Genomic DNA, 14,710 nt, shown 5'->3' with positions numbered 1-14,710 from the left:
CGAAACTATGTCTTACTCATTTTTGTATGCTCAAGAACTAGGATAGTGCCTTGTACACAGTGATCCTCAGGTTTTTTGAGTAAATGACTATCTTCCTAACACCATCTCACTAAAGAACTAAATTTGTATCAGATTTTGCTAAAACATGTTTCAAACTGACTAAGAATATCTACAGCTAGACATTTTTTTTTTTTTTTTGAGACCGAGTTTTGCTCTGTTGCCCAGGCTGGAGTGCAGTGGCACGATCTCGGCTCACTGCAACCTCCACCTCCCAGGTTTAAGAAATTCTCTGCTTCAGCCAGGCGTGATGGCTCACGTCTGTAATCGCAGCACTTTGGGAGGCCAAGGCAGGCAGATCACGAGGTCAGGAGATCGAGACCATGGCTAACACGGTGAAACCCCATCTCTACTAAAAATACAAAAAATTAGCCGGGTGTGGTGGCGGGCGCCTGTAGTCCCAGCTACTCGGGAGGCTGAGGCAGGAGAATGGTGTGAACCTGGGAGGCCGAGCTTGCAGTGAGCCGAGATCATGCCACTGCACTCCAGCCTAGGCGACAGAGCGAGACTCTGTCTCAAAAAAAAAAAAAAAGAAAAAAGAAATTATCTGTTTCAGCCTCCCGAATAGCTGGGATTACAGGCACGTGCCACCACGCCCAGCTAATTTTTTTGTATTTTTAGTAGAGACGAAGTTTCACCATCTTGGCCAGGCTGGTCTTGAAATCCTGACCTTGTGATCCACCCGCCTCGGCCTCCCAAAGTGCTGGGATTACAGACGTGAGCCACCACACCCGGCCTACAGCTAGACTTTTATACTGAAACAGACAGCTGTTCACCTTTGAGACCATGAAGAGTTAATGCTTTAATTCTACAAAAGGGTAGCACCTTTCTGTTCAGGGTACAACTATAAAGTATCCATTTTCTTGCTGATGAAATTTTTTATGTTTTAGAGAAGATTAGAATGTCTAATATACCACCTTTAACATATTAGCAGTAAAACAGGACACTTACAAAGTAATCCAAATATAGGTCTAATAAAAAGACTCAGGATTCAGACAAATCTCATGTGCCATTGTGCAAAAAATTATGGAGGCCAAAAAAAGGAGTACTGAGGCACCAAACGGCTTCCATACTTTTTTTTTTTGAGACGGAGTCTCGCTCTGTCACCCAGGCTGGAGTGCAGTGGCACAATCTCTGCTCACTGTAAGCTCTGCCTCCCAAGTTCACGCCATTCTCCTGCCTCGGCCTCCCGAGTAGCTGGGACTACAGGCGCCTGCCACCACACCCGGCTAATTTTTTGTATTTTTATTAGAGACAGGGTTTCACCGTGTTAGCCAGGATGGACTTGATCTCCTGACCTCGTGATCCGCCCACCTTGGCCTCCCAAAGTGCTGGGATTACAGGCGTGAGCCACAGCGCCTGGCCACGGCTTCCATACTTCTAAACAAGGATGCGTGGATAAAAGATGGCCCCACAGCTGGTATGGGGAATGATGAAACCAGTAAGACAGTAAAATACATTAAAGAAGAGGTCAACGAAAGTATGATAAACTGCTTCCACCTCAAGGTTCTCTAATATTCATGAGCAATCACATTTCTAAAAAGATTCCTCAGCTGACCTAAAGATAACAAACTCTCTACCCACCAACGACTACATACCAATACAATGATTTTGGCCTGTGGCTGCCTTGTGTTGATAAGTTGTACAATGGCCTCGATCCCACCTGCTACTTCTTCTGCTGTATTTTCGTGGTTATTTGTTCCTACCCAGACAACAATGACCTGCAATTGAAGAAAAAAGGGGGGAAGGAGAAGATAAATACCCAGGAACAAAGGAACGTCCAACATTTAGATGAAAATCTTTTTTTTTTTTTTTTTTGAGATGGGGTCTCGCTCTATCACCCAGACTGGAGTGCAGTGGCACCATTTCGGCTCACTGCAACCTCCGCCTCCCAGGTTCAAGTGATTCTCCTGCCTCAGCCTCCCGAGTAGCTGGGACTACAGGCATGTGCCGCCACGCCCAGCTAATTTTTGTATTTTTAGTAGAGACCAGGGTTTCACCACGTTGCCCAGGCTGGTCTCAAACTCCTGACCTCAGGTAATCCACCCACCTTGGCATCCCAAAGTGCTGGGATTACAGGTGTGAGCCACCACGCCCGGCCGAAAATCTTATTTCAAAAAGCAAAGAAGGAAAGATAAACTTTTCAAATGGTGTTGGCTAACTTCAACTGGGCAGCTATCCTATTAAATTTTCTTTTAAGAGATAGAGGGTCATGCTATATTGCCCAGGCTGGTCTTAAACTCCTGGGCTCAATCCATCTTTCTTTGGCCTCCCAAAATGCTGGGACTACAAATGTTGAGCCAGGGCAGAAATCTTAATGCATCGATTTATGCCTCCTATCATATATCAGGATAAATTCCAAGGGGAATAATATTTAAGTGGTAAAATTGTACTAGGAGGAAACAAGAGAGAATTATATCATCATGCAGCAGGAAGCTGATTTCTCAAAATCCAAAAATTATACAAAAAAGATTAATAAACTGTATAAAAATAAAACCTGGCCAGGCACAGTGGGTCACATCTATAATCTCAATGCTTTGGGACACTGAGGTGGGAAGATTGATTCAGCCCAGGAGTTCAAGACTGCAAGTAAGCCATGATCATGCCACTGCACTCCAGCCTGGGTGACACAGCAAGAACCTGTCACGGTATAAATACACAGGTACACTCAAGGAAAAGAGTCACAGAGGTGGAGGCTGGATGCAACTTTAACAAATTTTTCTATTTATTTATTTTTGAAACGGAGTCTTCCTCTGTCACCCAGGCTGGAGTGCAGTGGTGTGATCCTGGCTCACTGCAACCTCCATCTCATGGGTTCAAGTGATTCTCCTGCCTCAGCTTCCTAAGGTGTGTGACACCATGCCTGGCTTTTTTTTTTTTTTTTTAAATCTAGAGACAGGGTTTCACCATGCTGGCCAGGGTGGTCGTGAACTCCTAGCCTCAAGTGATCTGCGTGCCTCAGCCTCCCAAAGTGCTAGGATTACAGGCATAACCCACCACGCTGATCCATCAAGTTTTTCTCTTTAGAGAAAAAAAAAAAAAATCACAGTCTCGCATGGTAGCTCAAGCCTATAATCCCAGTATTTTAGGAGGCCGGGGCGGGAGGATCATCATCTGAGGCCAGGAGTTTGACACCAGCCTAGGCAACATAACAAGACCAAGACCCTGTCTACAAAAAGAAATTTAAAAATTAGCTAAGCATGGTGGCACATGCCTGCAGTCCTAGCTATTTGGGAGGCTGAGGCCATAGGATCATCCGAGTCCAACAGTTTGAGGTTACAGTGAGCTATAATCATGCCACTGCATTCTAGTTTGGGCAACAGAGAGAACCTGTCTTAAAACAAACAACTTTCAATGAAAGCACGTTTTGTCAGGGCTCAGTTTTTGTTCTTTTTTGGGAGCTGAAACAATTATATACAGTGTGCCAACTCAGAGTATTTATGATATAAGATACTGGGTAGAAATGTTCATTTGTTCACATCTGCTTCTAATTTTCTTCAGATGAACTTGCAGGCCTCGATTACTGACCTGTTTATATGGTTAAACAGATCCAAAATTACTTCCTAAAGTTAATCATGGCCCTGCTCCCATGGCCCACCTCTGAGCAGTTTTCCCTCATACTGCCCGAGATCTATGCATTCCACAGAATAGCATACCTCGTTAGCATCAAATCTCTTCCTTCAGCCAGGCGCGGTGGCTCATGCTTGTAATTCTCCAGCACTTTTGGGAGGCCGAAGCGGGTGGATCACAAGGTCATGAGTTCAAGACCAGCCTGGCCAAGATGGTGAAACCCCATCTCTACCAAAAATACAAAAATTAGCTGGGCACAGTGGCGGCGCCTGTAATCCCAGCTACTCGGGAGGCTGAGGCAGGAGAATCGCTTGAACCCAGGAGGCGGAGGTTGCAGTGAGCTGAGATCACACCACTGCACTCTAGCCTGGGTGACAAAGCAAGACTCCATCTCAAAAAAAAAAAAAACTCTTCCTTCAACTTAAGAAAGTAATTATAACAACTATAAATACAACCCAATAGGCAAACAATTCACTAGTTTCTTAATTATATATTTTGGCATATTCTCAAGCAATGACAGTATCATTTACCTTAAAGAGGCACGAAAAAAATAGTGAAATAGGTCTTTAAAGAAGCAATTTTTTTTTACAGTTTCAGACAATTTAACTATCCAAAACAGACTTAAGATTAATGACATTGACAAGTAACTTTCATTTCACCTTAGGCTTAATATTCTCCAGTTCTCCATTCTTTAGTCTCCACAAAACATGTCTTGTTGTATCTCCCCCAATTCCAAAATTCAGTGCATGAAGTGGGGAAAAAAGCTCTCGCCATATCTAAAAAAAGAAAAACTTGATTTAGTGTACCTAAAACTAGGGGAAAGTTTAATCTTTCGACTGCAATGTGTTGCAAGGCATTAATTTCCTTTTTCTGTATTCAAAGATAACACTGTAATGGTGTGACACTGTTTAAGGGCTTTTAAGATACCATTGTGTAACTCAGTTCTTAATGCAGCCTTAGGTCTCAGCTCAAGAAATGAGTCACAACTCAATCTGATGCCCCCTAAAAGGTATCAACATTAATAATTAAGCTGTCAACTCAACAAACCCTCCTTTCCACTTATTGAACTACAGAAACAGGGTGAAGTAGAAACAAGAGATGAAGAAATTTAGAGTGCTAGAGCTTAAAAAAAAAAAAAAAAGCTATCTTTTAAATTTCCCTTGGGGCTGGGCACAGTGGCCCATGCCTATAATCCCAGCACTCTGTGAGGCCAAGGCACGTGGATCATTTGAGGCCAAGAGTTCGAGACCAGCCTGGCCAACATAGTGAAACCCCGTCTCCACTAAAAATACAAAAATCAGTCAGGCATGGTGGCACATGCCTATAATCCCAACTACTCAGGGGCTGAGGTATGAGAATCTCTTGAGCCTGAGATTGTGCCACTGCACTCCAGCCTCGACGATGGAGCGGGACTGTCTCAAAAAAATAAATTAAAAAATAAAAAAACTAATAAATTTCCCATGGAAGAATGCCTAAACCCTAAAAGAAGATTGGCAATAGCTTACTACAAAAATATATGAAATAGGAAAATGGCAAAATATAAGTAAGAATCATGACTAGGATAAATGTTATTAGCAAATACAAATAGGAAATACTAAGATACAAATAATAACTTGACAATCTGAGTAGAGCAAATATAAACAAATATAACATCAAGCCTCTTGGAAACCAGAGTAGAAGAGGAAGTTTCATTATAAACAATGCTTCAGATCAGAACATGGCCAAGTTAAAAGAAAGAAAAGAAAATCCCTTTAGGTAGCTTTGATTCTCTTATAACCTCAATTAGGGCTTCTCTAAGAGTCACAAATAAGTAAGTTCAGCTCAGAATGAAAGTCTGTTAGTAATGAATGGATATACATGAGTAGCCAAGAACCACGCTCATCCCTTCCACCTTTACCTCATATTGCTGCATTAACTGCACCATGGAGTCTCCCACGAACAGTACATCAGGCTCTTTGTCTTTACAGTCCAAAACAAATCTGTTGTGCTGGTTTGAAGAAGAAAAAAAAAAATTATTAACTGGCACTTCTGGCTGGGTGTGGTGGCCCATGCTTGAACTCTCAACATTTTGGGAGGCCAGGACAGGAGAATAACTTGAGGTCAGGAGTTTGAGATCAGCCTGGGTAATATATCAAGATCCCATCTCTACAAAAACAACTTTTTTCTTTCTTTTTTTTTTTTTTTCTAAGACAGCGTCTGGCTCTCTCACCCAGGCTGGAGTACAGTGGCGTGATCTTGGCTCACTGCAACTTCTGCTTCAGGGGCTCAAGTCATCTTCCCACCTCAGTCACCTGAATAGCTGGGATTATAGGCTCATGCCACCATGCCTGGCTAATTTTTTCTATTTTTTTGTAGAGACGAGGTTTTACCATGTTGCCCAGGCTGGTCTTGAACTCCTGAGCTCAAGCAATCTGCCCACCTTAGCCTTCCAAAGTGCTGGGATTACAGGTGTGAGCCACACATCTAGCCAAAAAAAAATTTTTTTAATAAAAAAAGAAACTGATATTTCTTTCCCTGTGAGACTTCTTGGCCTAGAAAGAACAGCTGTTCAACCAGTTACTGTTGTTGAACATTTTTTTTAGTCTATCCCCAAAGCTTATTCCTCTCATTCTATAAATTACTGTTTGAACTTTCTTCTCACCCTTACCATACAGAGCATTCTAGTACTCTCAAGAAACCCAGAATTCTACTGAAACCAGAATAGAAAAATACATGTAACATGCTGTTTAGAAGTTTATCTTTTCCTCAAACTTTTATTAAGAAAATTGTAGATACACAGAAAGTTGACATATTACAATGAACACATATACATCTGCCTCTTGTATTCAACAACTAATAGTATTTTCCCATGTTTGCTTTGTTTCTATGTATGTGTGCATGTTTGCTGGACCACTTGTGAAGTAGAATGCAAACATTATGATTCTTCACCCTAATCAGCAAGCATCTCCTAAGAGTAAGAACATCCTCTTATAAAACCAAATGGTGCGGTGGCTCACGCCGGTAATCCCAGCACTTTGGGAGGCCAGGGTGGGCAGATCACCTGAGGTTGGGAGTTCGAGACCAGCCCAGCCAACATGGTGAAACCCCGCCTCTAATAATAATACAAAAATTAGCCAGGTGTGGTGGCGGGTGCCTGTAGTCCCAGCTACTCAGGAGGCTAAGGGAGGAGAATCGCCTGAACCTGGGAGACGGAGGTTGCAGTGAGCCGGGATCATGCCATTACACTCCAGCCTAGGCGACAAGAGCGAAACTCCATCTTAAAAAAAAAAAAAAAAAAAAAGCCCACAAACTATTATCATAACTAGGAAAAGAAACAATCCCATAACATTCAATTTTTCAAATGGCTCCAAGAGTTCAATAAAGTATTATATCATTTTCTCAACTATGATCCAATGAGGATCCATGTATTTTATTTGAATGCAGACTTTGAAAATATCTGTTAACTTCCAAATGTGAGACACCGGCAAACTAGGACTCAATCCTTTTCAGTCAAATCCAAGTTTATAAACAGTGGTAATCTCCGCCCAGAGTGCCTCTTTCTGTTATAAAGGCACAAGACACTCTCTAAAATAGATTTTGGCCAGGTGTGGTGGCTCATGTCCATAATCTTAGCACTTTAGGAGGCCAAGGTGTGAAGGATAGCTTGAGCCCAGGCATTCGAGACCAGCCTGGGCAACATCATGAGACCCCTTCACTATGAAGAAAAGAAAGAAAGAAAAAAGAAAACAAATTTTACCCATCAATGCTAAAGAACATAGTTTAAACTTTTTATTTTACTTTTTGGAGATGGAATCTCACTTTATCACTCAGGCTGGAGTGTAGTGGCGCGATCTTAGCTCACTGCAACCTCCACCTCCCGGGTTCAACCAATTTTTGTGCCTCAGCCTCCCGAGTAGCTGGGATTACAGGCGCCCACCACCATGCCCAGCTAATTTTTGTATTTTTAGTAGAGATGGGGTTTCACCATGTTGGTCAGGCTGGTCTCGAACTCCTGACCTCAGGTGATCCACCCGCCTCAGCCTCCAAAAGTGCTGGGATTACAGGCGTGAACTACCGTGCCAGACCAGTTTAAACTTTTATATTCATCCCTTAAACAAATTTATACAGTGCTCTAGGTCTGTAATGTAGGTCTAGGAAAAGGCCTACTCTCTTTTTTTCCCAAAGATGGGGTCTCACTATGTTGCCCAGACTGGACTGAATTCCTGGGCTCAAGTGACCCTCCTGCCTTAGCCTCCCAACTAGCTAGGACTACAGGAATGCTCTATCATGCCTAGGTTTCCAATGCTGTTTCCTTTTCTCAAACTCTGCATTCAACTTTGTTTCCCTTAGGAATTAAGGAAGAGTTACTATTTAAGTATTTCTGTTGACAATACCAATGCAGATGAGGCTGTGGTAAAACTCAGATATTCATCCACAGGTGAAGTGTAAAGTGACAAAAATACTTCTGGAAATAATTTTACAGATTATGAAAACACCTCTGGTCAGGTGTGGCAGCTCACGCCTGTAATCCTAGGCCTCTGTGAAGCCAAAGTGAGCAGATCACATGAGCTCAGGAGTTCAAGACCAGCCTGGGCAACATGGCAAAACCCCATCTCTAATTAAACAAACAAACAAACTATATATATATATATATTCATTTATTTATTTAAAAAAGAAAACAAAACACTTCCTCTCTTAGGGTGACAGGATTAGGGACAGCTTTTTCCTTGCTTCCATATTTTGTGCAAACACGTATTTTAAAAATTACTATTGTTTCAGTAAATATTTTTAAACTGAGGAGATATGAGAAAGAATAAAAGTTTAGTGAATAGGTGCTTTTTCCTATCATGTCAACTCCCTATTGCAGGTACTGTAGTACCAACTACCTTTCTTTTTTTTTTTCTTTTTTGAGATTTTGAGACAGGGTTTCACTCTGTCACCCAGACTACTGGAGTACAGTGGCAGCTATGAGGGGCAGCTCACTGCAGCCCCAACCTCCCAGGCTCAGGCTGGGGAGGGCTTACGTGATCCTCCCTGCCTCAGCCTCAGGCGCATTTCACCATATCCGGCTTTTATTTTTGGCATTTTTTGTAAAGATGGGGTTTTGCTATGTTTCCCAGGCTGGTCTGGAACTCAAGCGATCCACTCACCTCTGCCTCCCAAGGTGCTGAGAGATCACAGGCCTGAGCCACCGTGCCCGGCCCCAACTACCTTTCAACACCAATAAAATAGCTTGCATTTGTAGAGTCGTGGAATTTAAGACTGCTATGCTAAAGGTTCTAGTACTTTTCTCCTAAAGTGTAATAGTTGTAATAAATTTGGAAAAATAGAAAGGACCAAAACAACACATCTATAATCCTACCACCTTAACCTAGTAACTATGACCATGCTTGAGTGTTTTCTCCTCATCTTTTTTCATGTCCTCTGTTACCCCTTTTACATAGTTTAAGCATCATGGACACCTCTTTCTGGCACTATATGTCTGGGGCCAGAAAAACCAACATTCAAATTCTAGCTTACCTACTTTCCAGTCCAGTGATCTTAAGAAAGTACATAATTTGTGTCTTGGTTTTAACATCTGCTGGCAACTCCATTTTAGAGTTGTTAAAGAGTCCCAGCTATTGACTGGCACCCACTAGGTACTTGATAAATGGTAGCCGTTATAGTTGCACTTAACATCATACTAGAACCATTTTTCTATGTAGCAATGCAGTTTTTATAATCATAACTTTTAATGGCCATATATTCTTTTCTAGAGACAGGGTCTTGCTCCGTCACCGAGGGTGGAGTGCAGTGCATGATCACAGCTTACTACAGTCTCAAACTCCCAGACTCAAGCAATCCTCCTGCCTTGGCCCCCCAGTAGCTGGGACTACAGGCACACACCACCATGCCCAGTGAATTTTTTTTTCTATTTTTTGTTGAATCAGGGTCTTGGTGTGTTTCCTAGGCTGCACTTCTGGCCTCAAACAATCTACTGGCCTCAGCCTCCCAAAGTGCTGGGACTACAGGTATGAGCCACTACACATAATATACTCTACTGAATGCACTCAACGACACATTTTTGTTTGCTATTTTGGGGGGTGAGGGGAATGAGGGTCTATGTTGCCGAGGCTGGTCTTGAACTCCTGTGCTTAAGCAATCCTCTTGCCTCAGCCTCCCAGGTCACACTCTTCTTCCTGTGGACAGACTTGCCAGTGGCCTCTTTTTGTGAATCTAGTAAGTGTGATAAAGGGATATATATATATATAATTTTTCCTACACTGGAAATTCTTAGTCAAAATAAATCAGTATTTTTATGGATTTTGGACATATTTCCAAATTCTCAACAAAAGGGCTATATGCTAATCTGTAAGGACTCCAGCAATATATTAGAACTGGTTTTACTGTACTTGAACCTGAATTAGATATTAACGTTTCTCTTTCTTTCTCTTCCTAATGTTTTAATTTACACTTTTTGGAAACAAAGTTACACTTCCTATCATGTCTACTGAAATACTTATATATTAGTTCCTTTAGGATATTTTTATTGATAATATAAGGTATCTATGCTTCATCTATAATATTTACTGCGTTTATTTTCCTTAGTCTGCTGCTGAGCCTTATTTTTCTGGTTAATATGTTTTGATACGATTTCTATTCTATTTGGCAAGTCTTTCAACACTACCCTTAAGAAAACCTTTTAGGCCAGGGATGTGGTGGCTCACGCCTGTAATCCCAGCATTTTGGGAGGCTAAGGTGCGTGGATCACCTGAGGTCAGGAGTTCAAGACCGGCTTGACCAACACGGGGAAACCTCGTCTCTACTAAAAAAACACAAAAATTAGCCGGGCATGGAGGTGGGTGCCTGTAATCCCAGCTATTCAGGAGGTAGAAGTTGCAGCGAGCCAAGATCACACCACTGCACTTCAGCCTGGGTAACACAGTGAGACTCCATCTCAAAAACAAAAACAAAACAAAACCTTTTTATTACGCAAAATATCAAATGTATACAAAAGCCGAGAGAATAACATCTCCATTCAGAGAGAATAAACCTCCATGTATCAATTACCAGCTACAGCAATCATTTATGGCCTGCATTATTTCAGTCATACTCCCAACTACTGCCCCACTCCATCCCCAGACTATTTTGAAGCAAACTGAGGATATATCATTCCAAGTATAAATATTTCAGTATGCAATGCTTAAAAGATTTTTAAAGTCAGGCACGGTGGCTCATGCCTGTAATCCCAACACTTTGGGAGGCTGAGGCAGGAGGATCACTTGAGGCCGAGAGTTCAAGATCATCAGCCTGGGCAATATAGTGAGACCCTATCTCCACAAAAAATAATAAAAAAAATTAGCCCGGCATGGTGGCATGCACCTGTGGTCCCAGCTACTTGAGAAGCGGTGGTGGATCACTTAAGCCCGGGAAGCCAAGGCTGCAGTAATGGTGCAAGCTGTAATGGTGCAAGCTGTAATGGTGCCACTGCACTCCAGCATGCTTGACAGAGCAAGATTCTGTCTCCAAAAAAATTTTTAAAATATTTGTGTTTTTCTTCCATTTGACTGATTTTTCTACAGCCAGAGCTCATTGAAGCCTATTAACTTAAGACAAGAATAATGAAGATATCTAGTTTAGTTACTACTTTTCTTTTCTTTTCCTTTCCTTCGTCTTGAACTCCTGGGCTCAAGCGATTCACCTGCCTCAGCTTCCCAAAGTGCTGAGATTACAGGTGTGAGTCACTACTCCTGGCCTAGTTACTATTCATAAAGGTATAAATGATCCAGATGTCCATGAAAGAAAAAATGGGCAAATCAACTGTGGTATACTTCTTTTTTTTCTTTTTGAGATAAGGTCTCAATCTGTCACCCAGGCTGGAGTGCAGTGGCACAATTATAGTTCATTGTAGCCTTAATATCCTGGGCTCAAGTGATCCTCCCGCCTTGACTTCCCAACCTGCCCTGGCCTCCTAACGTGCTGGGATTACAGGCATGAGCCACTGTATACTGCCCTGTCTTAAAAAAAAAAAAAGAAAAGAAAAAAATATTGGGACAACTGGAGAAATCTGAATATGGTCTTTGGATTAAGTAATAATAGTATTATATCAATATTACATCTCATGATTTTAATAACTATCCTATAGTTATTTAAGAAAAGTCCTTGTTTTTAAGAAAACATGCTGAAATATTCAGGGATAAGGGAAATGAGTGCAAATGCTTCAGAAAAACCCACTACGTTAGTATATACATATAGAAATAGATATAGACACAGCAGGGCATGGTGGCTCACGCCTGTAATCCCAGCACTTTGGGAGGCCTAGACAGGCAGATCACTTGAGGTCAGGAGTTTGAAACCAGCCTGGCCAACATGGCAGAACCCTGTCTCTACTAAAAATACAAAAATTAGCTGAGCGTGGTGGCGGGCGCCTGTAATCCCAGCTACTTGGGAGGCTAAGACACAAGAATATCTTGAACCCAGGGTGGCAGGGGGGTGGAGGCTGCAGTGAGCCAAGATTGCACCACTGCACTCCAGCCTGGGCAAGAGTGAGACTCCATCTCAAAAAACCAACAACAACAACAAAAAAAAAACTAAAACAAAATAGATACAGACACAATAATTAGGCAGATACGGTAAAATGTTAACAATTGGTGAGTCTAGATGAAGATACTTCTTTCTAAATTTCTGTAACATTTGTGTAGTTTTGAAATTACTGCAAAATAAAAAAACTTAAAATATTTCCCAGTTCCAACATCAGAATGGTGAAGAGGCAGGACATTTGTAACATTACATTTTTACTTACAGTAACAAATTCTTGTTGACTATTAAAATCCCCCTTTGTACAACCTGTCACGGGTCACAAGGTTACAGTTTTTTTGTTTGTTTTTTGTTTGTTTTGAGATGCAGTCTTGCTCTGTTGCCAGGCTGGAGTGCAGTGGCACAATCTCGGCTCACTGCAACCTCCGCCTCCTGGGTTCAAGCGATTCTCCTGCCTCAGCCTCCTCAGTAACTGGGACTATAGGCGCCTGCCACCACAACCGGCTAACTTATTTTTAGTAGAGACGGGTTTCACCATATTGGCCAGTCTGGTCTCAAACTCCTGACCTTGTGATCCGCCCACCTCGGCCTCCCCAAGTGTTGGGATTATAGGCGTGAGCCACCATGCCCAGCCTAGAGTTTTGTTTTGTTTTTTTTTTAATTGCCCCTTTGCAGTTTTGGTCAAAAGACCTTAAAATAATTGAAGAAGCCAGGCATACTGATATGTGCCACTAGTCCCAGCTATATGGGAGGCTGAAGTGGGAGGATCACTTGAGCCCTGCAGTTTGAGATCAGCCTGGGCAACACAGTGAGACCTTGTCTCAAAAACTAAAACAAAACAGACAAAAAACTGGAGACTCAACTCATGTGAATGATACACATGCACTTCCTTTTACCTGAGACATCCATCGGTCATCTCCTTGAATATCTTCTGCTGCATGCGGAATAGCTGCTGGGTTTGAGTCTCCTTGGCTCATTCTACACCTGAGAAAAAACGTCTATGTCATGTTTCATTTGTTAACAGGAAGGTTTGTTACCACTTAAATATTATACACATCAGGCTTTAAATAATAATTAAAGTTTTATGTGGTTTGCCTAGAAACAATTGGGAAACTAAACAGAAACAATTACTTTCTGTAGAGATGAATTGCAGAACATGACTAAGTCCCATAAAGATAGCACCACTAAACCGCCAGATAGCTTTGAATATGACTTAGTTGCAGTGCAGTACATTTAAAAAATCTCCTCCAAGTATATACTTTATACCTATATTAGTTTTTTGTGATTATATGTTACTGTAAGTACCAAGTGACACAAGGAGTTATTAGACACTTACAGTACAATTAAATCTACATCAGAGGCTTTTCAGCTGTTAAGAGTTACACACTTACTACTGTTAAGAGTTACAGAATTACTGGCCCTGCACAGTGGCTCACACCTGTAATCCCAGCACTTTGGGAGGCTAGGCGGCAGGTGGATCACGAGGTCAGGAGATCAAGACCATCCTGGCTAACATGGTGAAACCCTGCCTCTACTAAAAATACAAAAAAATTAGCCGGGTGAGGTGGCGGGCGCCTGTAGTCCCAGCTACTTGGGAGGCTGAGGCAGAAGAATGGCGTGAACCCAGGAGGTGCAGGTGGAGCTTGCAGTGAGCCGAGACTGTGCCAATGCACTCCAGCCTGGGCGACTGAGCAAGACTCTGTCTCAAAAAAAAAACACTTACAGAATTACTACTGCAATGATTATAATCCACTGGTTACTAAATAAACATCACACAAATAACTGTAGTACAGATTATGACAAAAGTAGTCATAGGCCTTGGCACTGGTTTTCGACAAATGTTTACTAGGTATTTTTATTTTTGTAAGTTTCCACTAAGAAAATTTTAGAAATGATGGCTGGGTGTGGTGGCTCACGCCTGTAATCCCAGCACTTTGGGAGGCCAAGGCAGGCAGGTCACAAGGTCAGGAGATTGAGACCATCCTGGCCAACATAGTGAAACCCCGTCTCTACTAAAAATACAAAAAATTAGCTGGGCATGGTGGCATGCACCTGTAGTCCCAGCTACTCAGGAGACTGAGGTAGGAGAATCACTTGAACCCGGGAGGCGGAGGTTGCAGTGAGCCGAAATCACACCACTGCACTCCAGCCTGGGTGACAGAGCCAGACTCCATCTCAAAAAAAAAAAAAAGAAAAAGAAAAAATTTTAGTAATGATGAGTCCAAATATGTCATCTAGCAAGTAAAATTCCGCAAAATTAGAACTGCTAATCTTCTATAAATAGAAAGACAAATAAGAAACCAGATTACTTTCAATCAATTCTGCAGAATATACAATAGAAACATTAAACTCCAAATGCAAAGGACTATGAAAAGGAAAAAAATCTGGGGTTTTGCGGTTTATAGAAAAGAAGGTCATCTTTTTTTTTTTTTTTTCTGAGATGGAGTCTTGCTCTGTCACCGAGGCTGGAGTGCAGTGGCGCAATCTCGGGTCACTGCAAGCTCCGCCTCCCGGGTTCACGCCATTCTCCTGCCTCAGCCTCCCAAGTAGCTGGGACTACAAGCGCCCGCCACCACGCCCAGCTAAT

The 14,710-nt window shown here is 42.1% G+C and overlaps 1 protein-coding gene across 13 annotated transcripts in view; it reads right to left on the bottom strand.

The window, feature by feature from the left end:
* Positions 1-14,710, bottom strand: part of PAFAH1B2 (platelet activating factor acetylhydrolase 1b catalytic subunit 2) — a 33,887-nt gene that overhangs the window by 12,626 nt on the left and 6,551 nt on the right. For 9 of the 13 annotated variants that reach the window (NR_110269.2, NR_110268.2, XM_047427042.1 and 6 more), the window contains exons 2-5: positions 13,020-13,107; positions 5,525-5,614; positions 4,287-4,403; positions 1,656-1,778 (exon numbers count right to left, since the gene is read on the bottom strand). Coding sequence is in view for 10 of the 13 variants with exons in the window: in XM_017017840.2 (XP_016873329.1) it covers positions 1,656-1,778; positions 4,287-4,403; positions 5,525-5,614; positions 13,020-13,107 (418 nt within the window). In the remaining 3 variants the exon portion in view is untranslated. The remainder of the gene's footprint in view (positions 1-1,655; positions 1,779-4,286; positions 4,404-5,524; positions 5,615-13,019; positions 13,108-14,710) is intronic. The other 4 variants (XM_047427043.1, NM_001309431.2, NM_001184748.2 and 1 more) reach the window with 3 other exon arrangements.

This window comes from Homo sapiens, chromosome 11, assembly GCF_000001405.40.
Source record: "Homo sapiens chromosome 11, GRCh38.p14 Primary Assembly".
Lineage (NCBI taxonomy): Eukaryota > Metazoa > Chordata > Mammalia > Primates > Hominidae > Homo > Homo sapiens.
The sequence above is the reverse complement of the archived record's forward strand: the minus strand, read 5'-3'. Positions and strand labels throughout refer to the sequence as shown.